Below are 21,387 nucleotides of genomic sequence, written 5' to 3'. Positions count from 1 at the left end.
TCATAAAAAGCCTAAATAGCATGATAGATTTTTAGTTTTATTTTTTCCCTTAAAATATGTTCATTAATAAATTTAATGTTTAAAACAGTAGTTTCTAAATCTGGTTGTGTATCAAAATTTTTTGAGAGCTTTATAAACTGTAGCTTCTCCTTGACTGTAAATCATGTTTTAATAGTGAGTTAGTAGCAGTTTGGGGTAGGGTTGGTGATGGAGGGCTTTAAGCTTAATCCTGAGTCTATAATACAGTATTTTTTTATCTGTGACCGTAGCAAAGAGCTTGCACACTAAGTTGTTCTGTATGCTACCATTAATGTTTAAGAGATATATGAGTTAGGAAGTAGGGAGGAAAGTTTAACATCCTAGAAAATGTGGTATGACCTCATAACTCTATTAAATTAGGACAGTGGAAAGGAAATTCAGTTAGAAAAAAATCGTATACTTAAGGCCAGGCACGGTGGCCCATGCCTGTAATCCCAGCACTTTGGGAGGCTGAGGCAGGTGAATCACCTGAAGTTAGGAGTTTGAGACTGGCTTGGCCAACATGGCAAAACCCTGCCTCTACTAATAATACAAAAACTAGCCAGGCGTGGTGGTACATGTCTGTAGTCCCAGCTACATGGGAGGCTGAGGCAGGAGAATTGCTTGAACCCGACAGGCAGAGGTTGCATTGAGCTGAGACCATGCCATTGCACTCCCCACTGCTCAACAGAGTCAGCCTCATCGCAAAAAAAAAAAATATATATATATATATATATACACACACACACACATATACACATATATATATACATATATACACATATATATATACACATATATATACACATATATATATACACACATATATATATATATATACTTGAAGAGGAGGAAATAACACTAGTTCAACTTCATGAATTCCAAGAATAAGGAATTATGAAGCTGCTTTGTAGAGGCAGAAAGAAGATAAAACTTTTGTGGGAGAGGGTCATAGTAGAGGGCCAGATAATTTAGAGAGAATTATCTGAATGAATGACGCAGCTGTGCAAACTGAGACAAGTTTCAGTTGAACAAATGAAAATCAGTGTCACAGATGGCCCAGGGATAAGGATGGGCACTACCAGCTAGTGTGTTTGTAGAGAACTTGGCCTGTAGATGCTTTCTGCCACACACGTTGCTCACTCTGGATGTCCCATGAAATTCTTGTCAGTATAGAGCAGAGGTTGGTAAGCTTTTTAAGAAAATGGACTAATGGTAACTATTTTAGGCTTTATAGACTGACTATAGGGTCTCTGTTGGAATTACTCATCTCTGCCATAATAGTGTGAAAGCAGTATGTAAACAAATGAACATGGCTGTGTTCCATGAAAACTTTATTTACAAAAATAAGCAGCAGGCCAGATTTGGCACACAAGCTGTAGTTTGCAAACTCCTTGTATAGGTTAACAAAACCCACTCTTTTCATGATTTGAAAAAGTATTACAAGATTTTTTTAAAAAGTATTGATTAAACTAAGGGAATAAACATTAAGAACATTGAAAATGTAAGTTTTACTTAAGTAGTTATAAAACCTGATGTAATTGAGCTGTGTGTCGTGGTGAGCACCTGGAGTCCCAGCTACTTGGGAGGCTGAGGCAGGAGGCTTGCTTGAGCTCAGGAGTTCGAGTCCAGCCTGCACAACAAAGTAAGACCACTTTTCTTAAAAAAGAACAATGAAAAACCTGATATAATTGATTTTCCTCTTGTGATTTTTTAGCTCCCTTAAAGTATATTTTAAATCATCATGGTTTAATATCTGAATCATGGTTTTTCTTCTTTATTGGTTATTTGGTTGGTTTTCTTGGGAAAAGAGGTTGGTACTAGTCCAATTTGCACGTTTGTAGAGGATTCTATACACATGTAGTCCTACATGTACACACACATACACAAATTATTTATAAATATATAATATATATGTGTCAGAGAACATAAATTAATGTTATATTGTGAAGCTTATATATAATTCAGTTTTGCAGATGAATTTATTCAAGAGCAGCTTATGGAGATTAAAACTATACAACTTAGAAATTAAATACTGAATTTTAAGATTTTTTTTCTTTCCTAAAAGCCATACTTTCTTTTTTTTTTTAAAAAAAAAAAAAAAAAGGCTGTTGCCCAGGGTGGAGTGTAGTGGTGCCATCATAGTTCACTGCAGCCTCCGACTCCTGGGCTCAAGTGATCCTCCCACTTCAGCCTCCCAAGCAACTGGGACTAGAGGCATGTGCCACCATGCCCATATCAAAAGCCATACTTATACTTCATAATTTGAATTTTTATTTTAAATTAAGATTTTAAAAGTTATTGTTTTTGAGCCCTGAGTCAATCTGTGTTCTTGGACAGTTTTTTCTATCCATCTGTAAATTGTTTTCCTTGCCTTGCTTTTTATAGTGGAGTATCTTTACAAATTTAGAGCTAGAAATAGAGCCAGTATTCTTATAGTCTGCAAAATCATGTTTCCATTGTCTAAGTTATATACAACCCATTTAATACAGTAAATTGTTAGTTATCCTTGTATTCTTCCTACATCATGAAAGTGCCAGGCAGGTGGATCACCTGAGATCAGGAGTTTGAGACCAGCCTGGCTAAGATGGCATAACCCCGTCTCTACTAAAAATACAAAAAACCAACCAGGCATGGTGGCGAGTGCCTGTAATCTCAGCTACTTGGGAGGCTGAGACAGGATAATTGCTTGAACCTGGGAGGCGGAGGTTACAGTGAGTTGAGATCTCACACTGCACTCCAGCCTGAGAGACAAAGCAAGACTCTGTCTCAAAAACAAAAGTGCCAGGTAATTCTTGGAAGGCATGGATCAAGATGCTGTTTTGCCCTTGTGATCATGGATAATCCCAGTCTGTGGTCATTGACTGTCCAGGGAATACTGTTTACTGACAGGAAAATATACCATCAGGTAATGAAAGAGAGACATTTAATGACCACATTTGACTCCTGTTTTAAACCAGCTGCCTCTGTACTATTGTTTAAATTCATGACAACAAACGGTAGTAAGCATATAAATAAAGGAATATACGTGTGCCATATATAACACTTGAGCATCTATGTATTATGAGCATACATGTGTGAGGCATGGTCATTATAATTTTTCTTTAGCTATGAAAAGCACGTTTCCCATTTCTATTCAGAATGTGAGCTTCAATAATTAAGATTTTTAAAATCTTTTGTATTTCTCAGAGATCTCAATTAAAATGTCCAAATAGGGCCGGGCACAGTGGCTCACACCTGTAATCCCGCCACTTTGGGAGGCCGAGGCAGGTGGATCACGAGGTCAGGAGTTTGAGACCAGCCTGGCCAACATAGTGAAACCCCGTCTTTACTAAAAATACAAAAAGCCAGACATGGTGGTGCGCACCTGTAGTACCAGCTACTTGGGAGGCTGAGGCAGGAGAATCGCTTGAACCTGGGAGGCGGAGGTTGTGGTGAGCTGAGATTGCGCCACTGCACTCCAGCTTAGGCAACAGAGTGAGACTCCGTCTCAAAAAAAAAAAAAAAAAAAAAGTCCAAATAGTGGAGATCGGGGTAAATACTCATTTGGGTTTCAATATGGAAAATGGTTATTTAGTTTTAAATATTTCAACAAGTTTGTGAAAGTTGTGCCTACTATGTTTTAGTTTGAGAGCAAAAAAAACACTTCAATATGTTGACATCAGTAAAAATAGTAATATATAACTTTTAAAAACTAGAGCATGGTATAGCTTTATGAATAATCAGATTTGGATCACAAAGTTATGGAGCCGTTTACTTCATGAGTCCAAGCAGAGAGTAGCAGGGAAATCTCTATTTTTAATACAATATATGTTACAAAATGTTTCCAAGTGCGTGGTTAGGTGGATATATTCTTAGAGAAGAAATCATATGAAATATTAAAGCAGGTTATGATTCTGTTTGGTCTTTTCAATCCTGGGTGGTTAAAACTTAAGAAATGATTCATGTCTCTAATAAGGTGAAGGGGATGTTATATTACTTAAAAGAGCACTGCGTATCCAAAGGAAATGGAAGAGTTGTTTTTTCTTCTCTTAAGGAATTTGTCCAAGTTATTACAAATCTTGCATCAAGTACAGTCACAAGTATACTAACCACTATACCATTTAAGTTGGAGATTACTTGAAAAGCATGACATTTTTCTTACCTTTGAGTAGTCCGGTTTGCTTTGTACTGTTAAATCTTAGATAAATGGTGAAATATGGATGGTTTTTATGAATTTTTTCTTGTTCAGATGAGAGATCTCCAGCTGCTCAGTATGTAGACCTATTGCTGAACCCAGAGCGTTACACTGGCTATAAAGGGACCTCTGCATGGAGAGTGTGGAACAGCATCTATGAAGAGAACTGTTTCAAGTAACTGGAGGGGGTGGGGGAAGAAGGAACGACTGATAGAGGGTCGGGAGAGGCCGGGTGCTGTGGCTCACGCCTGTAATCCCAGCACTTTGGGAGGCCAAGGTGGGTGGATCATCTGAGGTCAGGAGTTCAAGACCAGCCTGGCCAACATGGTGAAACCCCGTGTCAACTAAAAATACAAAAAAATTAGCCGGGCATGATGGCAGGTGCCTGTAATCCCAGCTACTTGGGAGGCTGAGGCAGGAGAATCACTTGAACCCGGGAGGCAGAGGTTACAATGAGCAGAGATTGCGCCACTGTACTCCAGCCTGGGTGACTAAGTGAAACTCTGTCTCAAAAAAAAAAGAGGGTGGGGAGGGGAGTATTTGTTTCTATTGGAATAAAATTATACACTATAAAAGTTAAAACATTCTATGTTTGGGTATTATGCTTTCTTTTTCAGGCCTCGATCTGTTTATCGTCCTTTAAATCCTCTGGCGCCTAGCCGAGGTAGGTTTTTCATATGTACATTTTCATGCTTTTCATTGTTTATAAAATGTCTTTATAACTAAACTTCATATTGAAAAAACTTTCATTTTTATATTTTGTTTAATTTGAATGATGAACAAAAAGTGTAAGATTAGTTCATAGTCGAGTCTCGAGATCTCTAGGCATGTTGTTTTACATAATTACTGTCATTTATTGAATGCCTGCTCTGTGCCAGACCCTAAACTAGGAAGTTTATGTAAAATAATTAAAATATGTGAGTAATCAATATATATCAAAGATTTCCTGGGGACTTATTAAAAAATCTGGTTGCTCAGGCCCTACGCTATATTAATTAAGTCAGAATCCTTGGAATGAGAACACCAGGCATTGTTATTTTTTAAACTCTCCACATGATTCCAGTATGCAACCAAGTTTGACAGCCAGTGTCTCGTAACAGTGCTTCTAGACTTCAGTGTGCATACACATCACCCAGGAGCCTTGGTAACATACAGCTTCTGATTCTGTATTTCTTGGGAGAGGTCCAAACACACTCCTAGGTGCTGCCTCAGGTGCCGACTCATGTACCACACTTTCAGTAGGAAAAATGTACAACAATTTTAGAAACTTTAGCAGTGCTCTATATCTGTACTGTCCAATAAAGTAACCAGTTTCCACATGGGACTGTGGAACACATGAAATTTGGCTAGTGTGAAACTGAATTTTAAATTGTATTTAATCTTAGTTTATTTAGATGTAAAAACTATATTGTTAAACAGAACCTTATTGTTTTGGTAAGACTACTATAACCTATGCGTCATGTAACATATTTTTGTTGTAGTGTGTGTATACTTTTGAATTTTAAAAATGTGGCTATTAGAAACATTTTAAGTTAACACTCGTGTGTGGCGTTATATTTCAATGGAACAGCATTACTGTCATCAGTGGGATACATCCTCAGTCTGTTCTCAGTGAGGAACCAAACCCTGGGAGCAACTCTGTCATTGACCTGCCATTCCAGTGTTTTCTTTAGACGGGGAGTGTTTTAAGAAATTTGATTTCCTGATCTAAATTTGTATCTTTAGACCTTTCTGAGAACCAAATAGACTTGGAAGGGTTGACTGCATAGACTGCTTTTTCATGCTCACTCTGTCACAATGTGGCAAATACTTGTTTTCCCCAAATTCACATTGAAACTGCCTGGAGAAGGAAGTTGGTCCTGAAAAAGACGTGCCTGGCTTCTTATCCTTTGTCTCTTTTACTACTTTTGCCTCACAACTTTTCTATTTTCAACTTAAAGGTTTTAATTAAACAAAATTTTATAAAAATTGAAGCAATATAGTAGTTATATAAAGTGAAAAGGGAAAGCTCTTCTATTCCATAGTACAGAGTTTGAAAGGTGTTCTTCCAGACCTTTTCTACAGCCACTTAATACTTTTAAAGCAGAAAATACAATTTTTTCACTTAAGAAAACCATCAAGTCCTAAGAAACACTTCATTTCCATGTTAGTGATATATCAGAGACATAACACTGCTGAAAAGATGAGGAAAAGGAAACTACTACATAGAAAAAGAGGAAGGGAAGAGGAGAAAAGAAGAAAAATGAAATATGAAAGAAGACAAGACTAGGTAAAGAGAATGGTTCCTAGCTGTTATAGGAGTACTCTATGAAGTAATTAATAGCTCTTGCTGTTGCTATTTACCTGCTATCTCCATTGAAATTGGTTGATTAATAGTTCTTTAATCTTCTTAACTCTTTCTTCCACATTTCTGAGTCATAACCCCTAGGCTTATACAACTATTTTCTAACAGGTTTTGAGCAATAGGAACTTTTGTCCAAAAATGAAATCTTATTTCAGAACCTACATAATAAAGCTGATAGGCAGAGCTGCTGTGTTGCCCTAGAGCCCAACCTCTGGCCTCTTCCTCACCTCTAGGCCTCCTGGAAGCAGCACCTTGCCCAAGGGTTTCACTGATTACAGTTTGGGATATACTCTTACTAAGGCCTGTCTCTGCTGAGGAGCAGTAATTTAAAAGAGAAAAATATTCCAGGTTGGAAACAGTAATGTTCAGAGAGGATTGTGTGCATAATGATTAAAGGAGCAACTTTATGTAGTAATTAATTAATTATTGAAAATAGTGGTCTTTATGACTTTTTAGTTGCTTTCTGATGTTATTGTATTTTAAAATGTGCAAATCTTTTTTTTTTTTTCTTGAGACAGAGTCGCACTCTGTCACTCAGGCTGGAGTGCAGTGGTGTGATCTCGGCTCACTGCAACCTCCGCCTCCTGGGTTCAAGCAGTTCTCTGCCTCAGCCTCCTGAGCAGCTGGGATGACAAGGTGCCGGTCACCACGCCTGGCTAATTTTTTGTATTTTTAGTAGAGATGGGGTTTCACTATCTTGGCCAGGCTGATCTTGAACTCCTGACCTGGTGATCCTCCCAAAGTGCTGGGATTACAGGCCTGAGCCACCGTGCCCAGCCTTCTTCTTTTTTTTTTTTTTGAGACGGAATTTTGCTCTTGTTGCCCAGGCTGGAGTGCAATGGCGCGATCTTGGCTCACTGAAACCTCCACCTCCTGGGTTCAAGTGATTCTCCTGCCTCAGCCTCCCAAGTAGCTGGGATTACAGGTACATGCCACCATGCCTGGCTAATTTTTGTATTTTTAGTTGAGACAGGGTTTCACATGTTGGCCAGGCTGGTCTCAAACTCCTGACCTCAGGTGATCCACCCACCTTGGCCTCCCAAAGTCCTGGGATTACCGCCGTGAGCCACCACGCCTGGCCAAAATGTGCAAATCTTATACTCTTTGACCTGTATTCTGATTAAGAGGACTCATTTGCAGGGCGTCTACTCAGTGACCAAGGTTTGTGATATAATTAATAGTTTAACAGTTTTAATCTCAAAAAATAGTATTGGGATCTGAGCTATGTAAGACATTTTCTAAAATCTTTTCTATTATTTTCTCTTTTAGGCGAAGATGATGGTGAGCAAAACTCATGTTTGTTTGTTTCAAGTGTGGAGGAAATTTTTTGTAACAATCAGAATTTGATTTTTCCTTTATGGAATTCAAAAGAAAGTATTCCTGTTTTCTAAGAAAATAGCTACTAATGAATGGTGACCAAAAAAAAAAAGATTATTTTATATATATCAAGTTATCCTATGTTAAAAAAAAAAGACCATTTTTCCTAAATGCTTAGTTTGTAAATCAATTCACATTACAAGTTCCCCATTTTCTGGTTATTATATAATTTACTTGAATATGTCCTGAGGAAGTGGGGAGAAGGAGTTAAGGTAGTTTTACCAGATAATTTGTCTTGTGACCTCTTTATTTTCTTATTGACTGAAATTTCTAACCTCAGGTATCAATATAATACTTAATTTGATGACGAGCAATTTATTAACAATTGATTATTGAATGAATGTTGGTTAAAAGATACCCCCAAAATAGCCAAAATAATTATTTCAACTGAATGTTTACCTCTCTGTGTTCAGGGGCACTGATGGGCATTGTCCAGGGTAGGAAGATGTTTAAAACATGGTGCTTTCCCTCTAGGAGCTGAGGATATATAGGATAGTAGGAAAGATAAGCACTGTACATAAACAATGGTAATGAGGTAAAGAAATACTCCATAGATGGTACAAACAGTAGGTGATATATATAGCTCCTTAGAGGAGAAACAGATCGTATCTCACAGGAGCGATGTGGGAAAGCTTACTGGAGGAGGGGTAGCATTTGAGGTGAATTTTGAATAATGGGACAGATTTAGATCCGTACAATTGGATAGTGCATGTTGGAGGAAACAGCATGCAGCTGGGAGTTGAGACAAGTCAGGCATGTTTGGGGAGACAGTAAAGAGACCCTTTTAGTGGTAGGTAAGACTATATAGTGGTAGTTTAAATTAGATTGATAGAGGCCATATTTTTTAGTACGTTGGGTACTAGACTTTTCCTGTTGGCACTTGAGGTGTTTTGAATCACAAGTGATATAATGATAAATGATCCTTACTATATGTTGAATGAATTAATTTGTTAGACGTTTTCATTTTTGTACAAAGTATGAAGACTCTCAGGAGGCAAAGTAATTCCCCACCGTCTAGTTTATCCCTAGACTCCTTACTCAGCTCATCTGAGTGTTCGGTTTTTCTATAATTTCTATCATTCTCAATTTAAAAAAAAACAACATCAAGGATAGGTAACGCAGGAAGTGCATTAACAATTTTGATTCTTATTGACTGCTCTCTTTTCTTTCTCTTTCCCCAACTCAGAAGAAGGTTACAGGGCCAGGAATGGTTCTTTTTTTTTTTTTTTTTCAAGTGTTTAACATGTTTTGAAATATGTATACATTGTGGAATGGGTATATTGAGCTAATTAGCTCACATACCATTTTTTTGGCGAAAACACTTAAAATCGCAGCAATTTTCAAGAATACAATACGTTGTAATTAACTGTAGTCAGCATGTTCTACAATAAATCTCTTGAACTTACTGCATTTCTTTAACTGAAATTTTGTATCCCTTGACCAGCATCTCCCTGACCCCAGGAATGTTCTTCAGCATTAGTACACAGATTAGTCAAGCCCTTCTGTATTCTATTAACTTTCCTGAAGAATTATATTGAAAATTAAGAGATTTTTTAGCTGTCCCTTAAAACTTATTAGTCTTAGAAAATTGAGGAAATATTTTTAGTTTTATTGGATTAGGAAAAATGGAATAATCAATAGTTGGACGTTTGTGTTAATTATAATTCCTTATTTTCTTGGAATATTTAAAAAGCACTATGGTTGTTATGAAAAGCAAATTTGAGATCGTTAAAATGTTTGCCCTATGTTTTCAGATATTTACACCTTCAATGAATAAGATTTATATACTTTTTTTTTTTAAAAGAGGCAGGATCTTGCTATGTTGCCCAGGTTGGATCCGATCTCCTGGGCTCAAGCAATCCTTCCCCCTCAACCTTCTGAGTTAACTGGGGCTACAGGTCCAAGCCACTGTGGCCAGCTCATATTTTGACTGAAATGTTTTCTTAAAAAATTTAATAGTCAAAATATTTGTAAAAACACTCTCTTAAAGTTACTTAAATTATTTGTAGGTTTTATTTCCTAGAACCATATGGTTATTTTTCTATTTTACCTGAAGCAGTAGACATTTTAGAGAGATTACTTAATCTGTCATAATTTTTTTTTTTTTTTTTTTTTTTTTTGAGACAGGGTCTCACTCTGTCACCCAGGCTGGAGGGCAGTGGTATGATCTCGGCTCACAGCAACCTTAGCCTCCTGGGTCCAAGCAATTCTCCTGCCTCATCCTCCCGAGTAGCTGGATTACAGGCCTGCACCTCCATACCCGGCTAATTTTTTGTATTTTTAGTAGAGATGGGGTTTCGCCATGTTGGCCAGGCTGGTCTTAAACTCCTGGCCTCAAGTGATCAGCCCACCTCGGCCTCCCAAAGTGCTAGGATTATAGGCATGAGCCACCATGCCCTGCAGAAAGATTTTATAAACCTAATTTATTCTACTTTATAAATGACCATATAATGTTTTAATCCACTTTTCTCTCTCTCTCAGGAGAATCATTCTACACATGGCTAGAAGGTAAACAGTCTGTTCTAAATTTATTGGATTTTTTGTTAAAAAATACTGATTTATTTAGCATATTTTTGTAAGGTCTAGGATTTTATTACCTAGTCAACTAATTTTGACAGTTTGAAAAAAAAAATGTGTTTTAGGTTAACATATGGGGATAAAATTATGTGAAAAGTTTGAAGATAGTGGTCAGCTAAAAACCAGGTTTATATAAATACACAGGCCAAATACTGTCATCAGGTTTTCATAACTGGTTCCCTAATCTTATTTCTGTTCTGTATGTAATGTTCATTCAAACTACTTCTCTAGTAACGAGTATGCAAAATATTTTAAAAGTGGAGACATTCCTTTTGGAAGGAAGTACTTTTTATATATAAAATTAATGGAAGATAAATATGAATTCAAAAGATTCGAAACATATTTGCCACGTTAATATAGTCTAACCTTGTCTGATTAAAAGATAAAGCAATATAGATCCTGATATATTAGATGCTTTTGCATTCTTGTACTTCCAGTGTTGAAAATATCAAATGCTATTAATGGAAAGGTGAAATGTTGTAGGATTTTAATAACTCAGGTTAATAACTGGATATATGATGCTTTTAAAAATTTACCTTACCAAATTGCCATTAGTATATGAAATTAAAAATTAAAATATATTAGTAACAGATAAGCAAGTAGAATGACATAGGAAAATTGATATTTCATAGCCATAACCTTATAGGAATACTACAGAGTAAAACTAATTCTATTTTATGCATGTCAATTGGTCATGTTATCTTATGAATATTATTTCTTTTTTTTTTTTTTGAGTCAGAGTCTCGCTGTTGCCCAGGCTGGAGTGCAGTGGCGCCATCTCGGCTCACTGCAACCTCTGCCTCCCAGGGTCAAGTGATCCTCCTGCCTCAGCCTCCCAAATAGCTGGGATTACAGGCACCCGCCACCACACCCAGCTAATTTTTGTATTTTTAGTAGAGATGAGGTTTCGCCGTGTTGGCCAGGCTGGTTTGAACTCCAGGCCTCAAGTGATCTGCCCACCTCAGCCTCCCAAAGTGCTGGGATAACAGGTGTGAGCCACCATACCTGGCCTATTTCTTTGTTTGTAATGAACTATGTGCATATGTTGGCCATTATTAAGGTGAACATTATTGATGTGCAAATTCTGTTAGGAGTTATATGAGAAAATCACTTATGTAGAAGATGTTTAGCTTTGTTTAATAAGCTCTACTCTAAAGATACAAATTGTGAAAAGTAGCATTTAGGCTAGAAAAGGTAGTCAGAGACTCTGAGTGTTAGTAATGAGAATGAAATTTAGAAACAATATTGGATTCTATGTATATTATATCAACCATTCTTCCAGTCTTACTGTTTTGAGTATCTGAATATTGATACATGGTTCCAAAGAGCATTCCCTTATAGGCAGCTGACTCAACCTTTTCTGAGATTCAGTTTCCTCATCTGGAGCGTGGAGAGGAGCAATAGCAGTCCTACTTACACTGTGAGTGTAGATGATTCCTGTAAAGGTTCCTTTGGAAACCACAAATCCACGTCCAAATGCCAAATATTACTGTTACAGTAAATGCAACCCCTTTCTGAAAGTTCAAGTGCTGAAAATGCATTTTAATGAAATTAAATCGAAAAGAGGAAGAAGAGAACCATTTTCTAAATTGTGTAATTGAATTGCTCTATGTTGTTAGAAGTTGGTGGATTCTGCCTTGGTAAGTCAGCTTTTGCAGATGTCACTTCAGAGTGAGATTGAGAAGGCTTTTGCCTGGACCTCGGTAATTAAAGATACCATCCAGCCTGGCACAGACTGTGTGTAGGCCAGGAGAAGCTCTCCAGCAATTTCCTGCTAAGTGTGTTGTGTGTCTGGGTGCACTTACTTGGTGCATATTTTATTATTAATTTGCTTAAAGTTACCTGTTTTTCACAGTTTGTGGAAATACATTTCTATTCCTCTCCCCTCACTTATCCCCTACCTCATTGCAGTGGTAGGGGCTTTGTGGGCTTTGCAAATTATAACTGCCTCCCAGTTTTCCAGGTCCTGGTTTGTAGGCATATGGATTTTCATGAGTTTTGCTTTGCTTACTGTCCCTTCTCTTGTCTTTATCCATTTTATTGGACATAAGCACTGCTTAGAGAGAGAGGTTGGGAAGAAAATAAAGTGAACTTCAAATCTGATATTTTGTTACTTGATAATAGATCTGATGAAAAGTTTTAGTAGAAGAGAAGTTAGTACTTAATGTTGTATTAAATATATTCATATTGTTTGTATCCATTGTTATCGTAAACATTCAAAATTGTCATATACTTTTAGGGAGGAAGCTACAAAATAAAATTCAATTTCTTTTGGTCCCCATCCATGACAATTTGAATATTCTAGCAAGAATTCCCAATTAGGGAACGAGAACTCAAAAGAATTATTTTTTCTAGTTAGAGGCCACGTGCTTCAGAATCATCTGTGATAGGACAGAAAGAGAGAGTGAATTGCTGGAAAATCTTAATAGACACAAAGAAAACCACATACTCTTACATTAAAAAAAAATTTCCCCCATCATATAAATGAGACTATTTTGCTTTCCACTATTAAAGCCCATTTTCCTGCATGGGGAAAGTGTTAAAAACCTGTTGGATGAAGGAGGGAAAAGCTCATGGCCGTGTATCCAGTGACTTCTTAAAATTTTCTGCATTTTTATTTATTTAAGAATTTACCATCTTAATCATTTTTAAGTTTACTGTTTAGTGGCATTAAATACATTCACAATGTGTATTACTCCTATTATGAGAGAAAATCTTTTAAAATGGGGGCAGGGGTTAGGATAGGATGACGGGATATCTTGACCTCTTAAGTTCTCAGCAAAAAAGCCCCTGTGGCTTAAGAAGGCTACATCAAATAACGTTCTGTTATATTCCTGTACTCCACTGATATGATTCCACTGAAGTAGTAAACAGTCAACTTGTTGTTCTTTTTTTAATTAGTTGAAATTCCTGGATTTCTGTTTTCCAAGTTTCAGCTCCTTACAAGTAGAACATATGGTTAAAAAATTAGACAATTTCAGGGCAGAAGGTTAATAAAACCCTTATTTCTCTGCTAGCAAATAACACATATAAGGAAGGGGGAAAAATCCAGCAGTGACTTTATAATTACATTTACTTCAGTAAGTTCTTAGCCTAAACCACAAGAAAACCTGTGCTGTTGCTGTCTAACATGGGAACTTGCCAACTTTATCCATAGTGTTTTGACCCCTAGTTGCTCAAACTTTTCTGCTTTTTTCAGCATTAAGTTCTCATCATATTCAGTTAACTCCATTCTGAAGCCAAAATCTTACTTTGCCTTCTAGTGAGAGAATCTTGATCTAATCAGTTTTATATTATTCCTTGATTTATTTTAATGTTCTTCAATCAAAAATAAGCCTACATACTGAACCTCCTTGAGTCAATATTTCTGATATCTAAATAGGTGTAATTTCTTTTTCAATATTTTTCTGAATAGGTTTGTGTCTGGAGAAAAGAGTCTTCTATAAGCTTATATCGGGACTTCATGCTAGCATCAATTTACATCTATGCGCAAATTATCTTTTGGAAGGTAATCATATTTTTAAGTCGAGATTTTGCCTTCTATTAGTGTAAAAATTATTGGAGAGAATACATATTCTTTAGAGCAGAAAAAAAATCCTGTTTACTAAAACAATGTAATGTATTTCTCTTTCTCTTTAGAAACCTGGGGTAAGCCCAGTTGGGGACCTAATATTAAAGAATTCAAACACCGCTTTGACCCTGTGGAAACCAAGGGAGAAGGTCCAAGAAGGCTCAAGAATCTTTACTTTTTATACTTGATTGAGCTTCGAGCTTTGTCAAAGGTGGCTCCATATTTTGAGCGCTCAATTGTCGATCTTTACACTGGAAATGCAGAAGAAGATGCTGACACAAAAACTCTTCTACTGAATATCTTTCAAGATACAAAGTAAGAATTGACTATCCGTGATTTGAAATTCTCCTCTCTGTATTCAAATGAGGTAGCACTTAAAGTACACAAAAACTGACTCCTAAAAGTTAACCGAGGGGAGATGTAGAACAGAAAAGGAAAGTGATCAATAGAACAACAGAATTTAAAAATATTTCTGAAAATGTTGATGAAAAAGCATTAATAAGGCTTTCTTTTGCAGAAATTTTCACACTTGAGAATAGTGCTTTAAAATATCACTAAATTTTATGTAGTATCAAAATTTAGTGCTACTTTAATGGTCTTTCTACCAATTTTGTATTCTTCTAGTCACTTTATTTACTTACTTATTTTTGAGACAGAGGCTTGCTCTGTTGCCCAGGCTGGAGTGCAATGGCACAATCTTGGCTCACTGCAGCCTCTGCCTCCCAGGTTCAAGCAATTCTTGTGCCTCAGCCTTCTAAGTAACTGAGATTACAGGTGTGTGCCATCACACCCAGCTAATTTTTGTATTTTTAGTAGAGATAGGGTTTCACCATGTTGGACAGGCTGGTCTCAAGCTCCTGGCCTCAAGTGATGCACCCTCCTCTGCCTCCCAAAGTGCTGGGATTAGAGGCATGGGCCATCGCGCCTGGCCTCTAGTCACTATATTTAAATTTAGATGATAATATACATGTGTTTGCATTGGGATGGATATGTAAGGAAACATTAGCCTTATCTTCTAGAATATAACCTTTTAAACAAAACGCTTGGTCAAGAAAACTTGAGTTAACTGGTTTTTAAAATAGCCTGGAAGAGAAAGATTAAAAAGTGTTTAAAGTAAATTATGTATTAAATTTTTAAAGAATATTAAGGGAATATTGCCTATTTTTTACATAGATTGTTTTCAGTTAATTTTTTAGATTACCTGTGTCATTTATTTAAAACATTACAGTCTTACTAAATTTAACAGCCATCTGTGTCTTGCTTTAGTCTTTTATGAAATAGTTTATGTGTGAACTGTTTGTCACTTTTCTACATTACCAAAACTTACATCGGAGTAAATAATGAATTTTAAATATTCATAAGGATAGAAAATTTTATCAGGTTTCTGATACAGAGTACGTGGATTTTTCATGTGTAACTTAATCCAATACTATCATTTTATCAGGTCCTTTCCCATGCACTTTGATGAGAAATCCATGTTTGCAGGTGACAAAAAAGGGGCCAAGTCACTAAAGGTAAAAAGTTCTCGATTGGGACACGGGGTTGGGAGCAGTTTGCTGGTTATGCTTTAATGCTGTGCATCCAAACTGTTTTCTTTCCCAGTTTTCCAGCTTCTTGTCAGAGTTGGTCTGATTGGATTTTAATACAAATGGTACAAAAAGCCTTTCCATATTTCTCAGTTCCATTGACCAACTGCTTAGTGAATCATTGGTCATTAGTATGTCCTATAACACCTTTATAAATGTCTTTTTAAAAGATACTAGTTGAGGGAAAGTTTTCTTAGTTTAAAAGCAGTGTATATTGTCGTTTTGATGCAGCTTTCAGAATACCATGAGCTTTTAGCCACTTTGAGGACAATAAATATTTTTCTAAAGTTTATTTTATGGAATGTTACGGTTTTTGAAACATATATTATGTTTTTGTCCCTTTGGACTAACTTAAAAGGTTAAAACTACCTGTTAACATGTGACATCAGAAGGAGAATATGTTTTGGGAACATTACCAAACTTCATGTTAGGTGTTCTTTATTTTCATTTGCTTAAAGTACATTAAGAAACAAATTGTACCCTTAAAATGTTCATAAAAGTATTTGAAATTGGCATTTTTTTTTTTTTTACTTTTAAATTTATTTTTTGAGATGGGGTCTCGCTATGTTGCCCAGGCTGGTCTCAAACTCCTGGCCCTGAGCTGTCTTCCCACCTCAGCCTCCCAAGTACCTAGGATTACAGGCACAAGCCACCATACCTGGCCACAAATAATCTTTGAGTACAACTTCATAGTCTTTTATATGTACTTCTGAAATCCGGGTAGTTTCAAAAACTGAAACATTTTCTTATGTTTAGTGCAAGGTAATTTTTTAGCAAAACCTGACCTAAACTGGTGTAAGAATATAGCAGATATTCGTAGTTTTGTGGGGTTGTTTTCAAATTCTGCTTGGTATGAATTTTTTATATTTTGCTACAGAAACATTAACGGATTTGACTGCAGGGTGTTTCCTCACACTCTGGTGAGATGTTTCATAATATACAGTACATGTACTGTATTTCTAAAATTTAAAAACTTCTGAATTCTAAAACACATTTGACCCCAAGATGTTTTAGATGTGGATGTACTATAGGAACCAATAAATCAATACTGAGTGATTCTCCTTTGGCGAGACTTTCTTGGTATTTCTGAAATAAGTAATTTAGTCACAACTATATTTTAGTGTTGGAAGGTTGTTTTATTTTACAGTTGTTTTAGAGGTATATTGCCATTTTGGTATTTTGTATGTTAATTCATTTTTATAATGCTTCCTGTTTTCTAAGTATCAACACATATGTTCTACTTTTAATCTTCAGAATGATCTTGTGTAATAGGGCAACTATAATTATGTATGTTTTTGTAGATGAGGAAAGTGAGACTAAGCAAAGCCTAAGTGTCTCACAGCAAGCTTTTAACTACACAATGCTGGGATTTTGTTTGCTGTTTGTCAAGAATGTATGAAGGAGAACCTATGTCCCTTTTCCATCTGCTGCAAAGAACTTACATTACATGAGAATATGACCAGCACAGGAGTTTTTGTGTTCTATTTATATTGTCTTTCTTTGCCAAGGTATTGATTCCTTTCAACCCTCTGGCAGCTGGTCAGGGCTTGTGGTAGCCAGAGTTTTCAGGCTACTTGCCTCCCGCTTCATGCAATAAAATATTTCCCTCAATGCAATAAAATGATTTTTATTTTCTGCAGTTGCCATGTGAAACAAATGAGGAAATTTTCTCTTAACCAATCTTATCCGCAGATAAAGTGAGACCAACCTTAAAGGCATATTGCACACAAATGCTTATAGGCAGAAGAATTTCCCCAGTGTAGGAAACTTCTCTTTTTTTTTTTTTTTTTTTTTTGAGACAGAGTTTCACTCTAGTTGCCCAGGCTGGAGTGCAGTGGTGCGATCTTGGCTCACTGCAACCTCCACCTCCCGGGTTCAAGCTATTCTTCTTCCTCAGCCTCCCAAGTAGCTGGGATTACAGGCATGCACCACCACACCTGGCAGATTTTGTATTTTTAGTAGACATGAGGTTTCACTATGTTGTTTAGGCTGGTCTCAAACTTATGACCTCAAGTGATCACACCTTGGTCTCCCAAAGTGCTGGGATTACAGGCGTGAGCCACCCTGCCTGACCAGTGTGGGAAACTATTACAGCAAAATAGAGGGATCCAGTAAGCATCTCCATAACAACTGCATTAGCAAATGTAGAGGACTGTGGGACCATATGTGTCACACAGGCCTGTTATCATTCATATTGATTGAGCAACCATGACAAACATAGTGTGGTACTAAGGAGTGATACAAAAATTGATCATTGTTCTAGGACTAGCTTTCTGATATAGGCTTACACAAAGCAAAGGATCAAAAATAAGTGAAACATAAACTAGACATATTTATTGTTGGTTGTATGTAGATAACAAATGGAAGCAGCAATTAAGTTCCTTAAAAGTAAAGACCATGTATTATTTACTTTTGTATCTCCCATAGTGCATATTTTGGTGCTTTGCATAAAGTAGCTCCTCAGTGGAAAGTGAATTAATATGCAGAATGAATTTTATTAATTTCCATTAATGTCAGTATTTTATGTACCATGTTATAGTATACAAGTATCAAGTATTTTTCTTTACTGTTGAAAAACACAACTCGGGTTGGGTATGGTGGCTTACACCGTAATCCCAGCACTTTGGGAGGTCGAGGTGGGCAGATCATTTGAGGCCAGGAGTTCAAGACCAGCCTGGACAACATGGCGAAACCCCGTCTCTACTAAAAATACAAAAATTAGCTGGGCATGGCGGCATGCGCCTATAATCTAAGCTACTTGGGAGGCTGAGGAGACAGGAGAATCCCTTGAACCTGGGAGGTGGAGGTTGCACTAAGCCGAGATGGCACCACTGCACTCCAGCCTGGGCGACAAAGCAAAACTCCTTCTCAAACAAACAAAAAACACAACTGATTTATTAATAAGCATCAAAACTTACTTATCGTTTAGCCAAATGCGGTTCAATTTTAAAAGTCTAATTAGACTGAAAATATTTTCTGCTTGCTAGGAGGAATTCCGATTACATTTCAAGAATATCTCCCGTATAATGGACTGTGTTGGATGTGACAAATGCAGATTATGGGGAAAATTACAGGTATATGTGTTGTCTTCTCTTTTGAAGCCATTACTAACCTTTATTTTTTCCACTGAGTCCAAGCTTTTTATTAAAATGTCCTCATTGTTCATTGAATTAGAATTTAGGAATAGGCAGATCCAAGGTGTTTTTTCTGTTGATGAAAAAATTAAAGTATATGTGTTACATGTATGTGAAAGGATGTTTCTCATATTATTCTTTAGTGATTTTAGTTTTATTGTGTCTATGTTTCTATTGATACAATACCAGATTCATTTGTGAAGTTGGTGGTCATTACGAACCGAGTATATCCGTATTTTACATATGTATATAGAAAGGTAAAATGTAATTACATAAAAAGATTGAAATATGAAGTCTTGGTCATTGAATTTGTATAAATGAGCAAAAGAAGGTCACTTAGTCAAAACAGGAAAGCTCCGCAAGACAGGTCCATTACTCTGTGTAAGCCAGTGTCAAAAGGATTGTTGAATATTTTATCTCTTTCTAACAAAGATGGTAACTTATAGAAAATTAAGAGACAAAATTATTACAGTGGAGGCTATACTGAAATAAAATGTCTTTTTCTATAGTGCTAATAATTGAGAAATTATTAAGTGTGGGTATCAATAATCTCTGAGTTTTGAATTGCTAAAAGCTGTAAAAAGTCCTTTATGGTTACAAATTGAACATTGTAATCCTAATATGGTATTTTCAAGGTTAAAAAAGTCATTTTAATAATTTGGAATAGTATGATATGTATTCAATAAGTGTTAAGACTATTCAGGTTTCCTTAACTGCTCAGATGTGTTTATTATATGCATAACCTGTGAGAAAGTAGAAACTGTAGTAATATTTTTGTGAAAAGCTCAGTTCATATGAATTTCCTAACTGGCATAACAGTGGCTATATATTCCTTTAAGCCTTTTTACTAGTTATTATTATTTAAAGTTAATTATGAGTTTATTGCTATTTTCTTTAGACTCAGGGTTTAGGAACTGCCCTGAAGATATTATTCTCTGAAAAAGAAATCCAAAAGCTTCCAGAGAATAGTCCATCTAAAGGCTTCCAACTCACCCGACAGGAAATAGTTGCTCTTTTAAATGCTTTTGGAAGGTAAGAACCATTATATGTTGAAGATTTTTGATTTCCCATTGGGTTTCAACAAACTGCAAAGATAATCTTCTTTGCTAAAAGTAGGGTTTGTTTTGTTGACAAAAAAAAATTTTATATTGTATCTGTACTAACTTAGAGAGGCCTTAATGCTGACAAGTCAGTTTCTCTACAGGTCATAGGAAAAACTAAGTTTCCAATTGCCAGTGTTTTTCAGTTTGCTGCCTTAATTTTGTAAGGGAGATATTCTTCTAATATTCTTTTTGCTTGGCTATAACTTGTTCAACTACAATAGCAGGAGTAAGGAATGTGTGATTGAGAAGGTGATAAAAGAAAATTAAAACCTTCATCTGCTCCTTATTTTTCTTAAATTTTCATTACTATTTTTTTCTTTTCTCACCTTTTTCCTGCACTATGCTCTTTATTTCTGAAGCTCAGAGGTCATTTTTCTTTCACTCATTTCTACATGATTTACTTCTGTATAGAGACATATAATTTGCTTGCTTGTTTATATCACCAGTGGTTTAAAAAATAATTTGAATTTGCCAGCAGAGATACATGTAATGCCAACTGAGGAATACAGAACAGAAGGAAAAGAATCACAGAAAATAATACTATGCTTCCTTGGGGAAAAAGAGAAAAAAGTCAACTTGAGGAAGAATTAAAAAAAAAAAAATAGGGGACTAAGTAATACAAAGATTATTTCTTGGTTTTCTTAACATGTGTTTTAAGTTAAAAAGAAGCAGTTAAATTAAAAACAGATTTATTATATGTCCCCTGCTTTTTTTTTTTTTTTTTTTTTTTTTAAAAGAGATGAGGGTCTCGCTCTGTCATCCAGGCTGGAATGCAGTGGCACAATCATGGCTCACTGCAGCATCCAAATCCTGGGGTCAGGCGTTCCTTCCACTTGAGCTTCCCAAGTAGCTGGGACTACGGACACATGCTATTTTGCCTGGCTAATTAAAAAATTTTTTTTGTAGAGATGGGGGTCTCACTTTGTTGTCCAGTCTGGTCTCAAACACCTGGCTTCAAGTGATTCTCCTGTCTTGGCCTCCCAAAGTGCTGGGATTACAGGCATGAGCCACTGTACCTGGCCATTTCCCATCTTAATAACAAGGATTTCAGCTGTTGCTTCCCTGTATTTAAAGATGACTATGTAGGTTGAGATTTCAGACACAGGATAGATATAGACTATCCATTAACTGGTATTTCATAAAAAATTCAGTCCATCCACTTATGAGGCCTGTAGAAAGATAACACAGGAGATACTGAATGAAATTTAAATAAATTGAAATGAAAAATATTGTAAATAACTTAAGCATCTCTTAAGTCCAAATTAAATTGAGAAAGATGAAAACAATTGAGAATTTCAAAACAATTGAAAATTTCCTTCGATCTCATAAAAAATATTCACAAATGCAGCCTTTCTTGTTTTAGTTCTATATCTAGAGCTTATTACCTTTTATTGTTCCCTAGAGTAATGGACTCAGAATCAGGGGTCCTAAAGTTCTGGAATCCTGGCCTGCCCTTTAGTAGTGGTATGAACTCAGGCAAATCACTGCTTTCCTAGTTTG

General features: G+C 36.2%; 1 protein-coding gene and 1 long non-coding RNA gene across 2 annotated transcripts in view; one reads left to right on the top strand and one right to left on the bottom strand.

Moving 5' to 3' along the window:
* The window catches only part of ERO1B (endoplasmic reticulum oxidoreductase 1 beta), a 66,858-nt gene that overhangs the window by 41,311 nt on the left and 4,160 nt on the right, over positions 1–21,387 (top strand). The window contains exons 7-15 of the mRNA NM_019891.4: positions 4,250–4,370; positions 4,813–4,859; positions 7,809–7,820; positions 10,398–10,424; positions 13,909–14,001; positions 14,133–14,379; positions 15,509–15,578; positions 18,638–18,724; positions 19,683–19,816. Coding sequence (NP_063944.3) covers positions 4,250–4,370; positions 4,813–4,859; positions 7,809–7,820; positions 10,398–10,424; positions 13,909–14,001; positions 14,133–14,379; positions 15,509–15,578; positions 18,638–18,724; positions 19,683–19,816 — 838 coding nt within the window. The remainder of the gene's footprint in view (positions 1–4,249; positions 4,371–4,812; positions 4,860–7,808; positions 7,821–10,397; positions 10,425–13,908; positions 14,002–14,132; positions 14,380–15,508; positions 15,579–18,637; positions 18,725–19,682; positions 19,817–21,387) is intronic.
* LOC124904561 (uncharacterized) lies at positions 1,336–19,686 on the bottom strand. The gene is made up of 2 exons (XR_007066961.1): positions 18,763–19,686; positions 1,336–1,651 (listed from the first exon to the last, which is right to left on the bottom strand). It is a non-coding gene; the product is annotated as an uncharacterized LOC124904561 (long non-coding RNA).

Source organism: Homo sapiens, chromosome 1 (genome assembly GCF_000001405.40).
Source record: "Homo sapiens chromosome 1, GRCh38.p14 Primary Assembly".
NCBI lineage: Eukaryota > Metazoa > Chordata > Mammalia > Primates > Hominidae > Homo > Homo sapiens.
Note: the sequence above shows the minus strand (reverse complement) of the source record. Positions and strands in the feature narration are given on the sequence as shown.